The sequence below is a fragment of the Homo sapiens genome, chromosome 19 (genome assembly GCF_000001405.40).
Source record: "Homo sapiens chromosome 19, GRCh38.p14 Primary Assembly".
Classification (NCBI taxonomy): domain Eukaryota; kingdom Metazoa; phylum Chordata; class Mammalia; order Primates; family Hominidae; genus Homo; species Homo sapiens.
In genome coordinates, this window is record NC_000019.10 from 23,147,576 (window position 1) to 23,150,796 (window position 3,221).

A 3,221-nucleotide genomic window follows, 5' to 3' on the forward strand; every position below is an offset into this window, starting at 1 on the left:
GGCACAGTGGCTCACACCTGTAATCCCAGTACCTTGGGATGCCAAGGCTTGCATTTCTGTAATAATAATTGACATTGATAATTTCTTAATGTATCTGTTGGTCATATGTATGTATTTTCTTGAAAAATATTTATGCCTCTTGCTCATTTGTAACAGTTATTTGTTGTTTGTTGTGTAGTCATTTAAGTTTCTGATGTATTTTTGATATTAACCCCTTGACACATGTATGATTTACAAATATTTTGTTCCAATTTTTAGTTGACTTGTTGATTGTGTCAGATTCTGTGCAACAGCATTTTAATTTGTAGTAATCTGACTCATTTGTTTTTCCTTTTCTTCCCTGGGATTTCGAGGTTAAATTTAAAAAGTCACTGCCCAACCAATGTTATGGGGCTTTTACTCTATTTTTTGTAGTAGTTTCCAGTTTTCAGGCCTTACATTTAAGTGATTTATTTTGAGTGGCCAGGCACGGTGCCTCAGCCTGTAAAGACTGTAATCCCAGCACTTTGGGAGGCCAAGGCAGGCAGATTACCTTAGGTCAGGAGCTCAAGACCAGCCTTGCCAACATGACGAAACCCCGTCTCTGCTAAAAATACAAAAATTAACTGGGCATGGTGACACCCACCTGTAATCCCAGCTACTCAGGAGGTTGAGGCAGGAGAATCACATGAACCTGGGAGGCAGAGGTTGGAGTTAGCTGAGAAGGCACCACTGCAGTCCAGCCTGGGCGACAGAGTGAGACTCTGTCTCAAATAATAATAATAATAATTTATTATGAGTTGGTTTTTATATATGACGTGAGATGATAGTCTGATTTTATTACTCTACTTGTGGCTATAACATTTTCTCAACACCATTTATTGAAGATACTGTCCTGTCTCTAAGAAATAGTCACCTTTATTTAAAATCAGTTAGCTGTAAGTAGATGGATATATTTCTGGTCTTTTTTTTTTTTTCCTGCTCCATTGCCCTATGTGTCTGTTTTTATTCAAGTACCATACTGTTTTTGTTACTATAGCTTTATAGTATATTTCAAAGTCAGGTTGCATGATATCTTTACTTTTTTTTTTTTTTTTTTTTTTTTTTTTTTTTGCTTTATTTGGCTATTCAGGGTCTTTTGTATTACCATATAAATTGTAGATGTATTTTTAAAAATATTTATTATGTCACTGGGATTTTCATTGAGATTGAATTATATCTGTAGATCTTTTTCTGTAATACAAATATTTAACAGTATTAATGCCAATTCAGGAATAAGAAATGTTTTTTATTCATGTATTAATTTCTTTCTTTTTTTTTTTTTTTTTTTGAGACAGAGTCTCGCTCTGTCGCCCAGGCTGGAGTGCAGTGGCGCGATCTCGGCTCACTGCAAGCTCCGCCTCCTGGGTTCACGCCATTCTCCTGCCTCAGCCTCCCGAGTAGCTGGGACTACAGGCGCCCGCCACCACGCCCGGCTAATTTTTTGTATTTTTAGTAGAGACGGGGTTTCACCGTGTTAGCCAGGATGGTCTCGATCTCCTGACCTCGTGATCCGCCCACCTCGGCCTCCCAAAGTGCTGGGATTACAGGCGTGAGCCACCGCGCCCGGCTATTCATGTATTAATTTCTTACTTTAATGTTCTTTAGAGTATAATGTAAGGTGTTTCAAATTTTTGGTTAAATTTATTTCAAAGTATAGTTATAGTTATTGAGATGGAATTGTTTTTTAATTCATTCTGAGATAGTTGTCAGTGAATAGAAATTCTGACTTTTGGATGTTGCTTTTGTATTCTGCAAGTTTAATAAATTTGTTTATTCTAATAGGTTTTAGTAAAGTCTTAGGCTTTTCTTATGATTATGCATAGAGATAAAATATTATATAGGAATAATTTAACTTTTTCTTCTCAACTGGATGCTTTTGATTGTATTCTTCAATATGTCTTTCTTGGACATTTAGTACTATGTTTAGTAAGACTGAAGAAATGGCACATTGTTGACTTGTTTTAGATCTTAGAGTAAAATCTTACATTTCCTTGTTTAGTATGTAATTAGCTCTGCATTTTTTGTTATATGTGACATTTATTGGCTTGAGGTGCCTTTTTCCTATACCTAAATTTTTCAGAGATTTATCATGAGGAAATGTTGAATTTTGTCAAGCTTTTATTCTGCATCTATTTAATGTTAAAAATGTAAAATCACAATGAATTCTACATAAATTGAAAAGTTTTCAAAGACTATTATGAACATCTCTATGTATGCAAACTAAAAAATTTAGAGAAAACTGATAAAGTTTTAACTATACACAACTTTCTAAGATTGAACCAGTAAGAACCAGAAGTCTTAACCAGAGCAAAAATGTATAAAATATATAATGATATTGAATAAGTAATAAAAAAGTATCAATAATAAAAAGCCTTGTGTGATATAAACTCACAGCCAGATTTTACCATATATACAATGATGAGTTGGTACTAAGCCTACTAAATGTATTCCAAAATATCAAGATGGGATTCTGCCCTAACTTGTTATATAAAATCAGTATCGTCTTGATACCAAAATATAGTGAAGACATAAAAAAGAAAACTACAAGCCAGTATTTTTATAAACATTGAAACAAAGTTATTCATGAAATAATAGTCAACTGAGTTTATAAGTAAATCCAAAAGTTATTTTGCCACAATCATGTGAGCTTCATTCCATGTAAGGATGTTTTTTCACATGTAAGTCATTAAGTGTTCTTCACCATGTAAAGATAAGCCAAAAATTATATGATTAACACAATAGATGCAGAAAAAACATTCAAGAAAATTTAATATTGATTCATGAAAATATTCTCAACAAACTAAACATTGATGAAACATACCTCAAAATAATAAAAGCCATCCATCACAAATCTTCAGCACACATCATACTGAACAAGCAAAATCTGGATGTATTCTCCATAAAAATAAACATAAGACAAGAATTTCCACTCTAAGTAGTTCTATTAAACATAATTCTGAAAGCTCTAGGCTGGGCATGGTGGCCTTTGCCTGTAATCCCAGCACTTTGGGAGGCCAAGGTGGGCAGATCACCTGAGGTCAGGAGTTCAATACCAGGCTGGCCAACGTGGTGAAACCCTGTCTCTATTAAAAATACAAAAATTAGCCGGGTGTGTTGGTGCATGCCTGTAGTCCCAGGTATTCGAGACTGAGAAGGGGAAATGCTTGAACCTGGGAGGTGGAGGTTGCAGTGAGCGGACA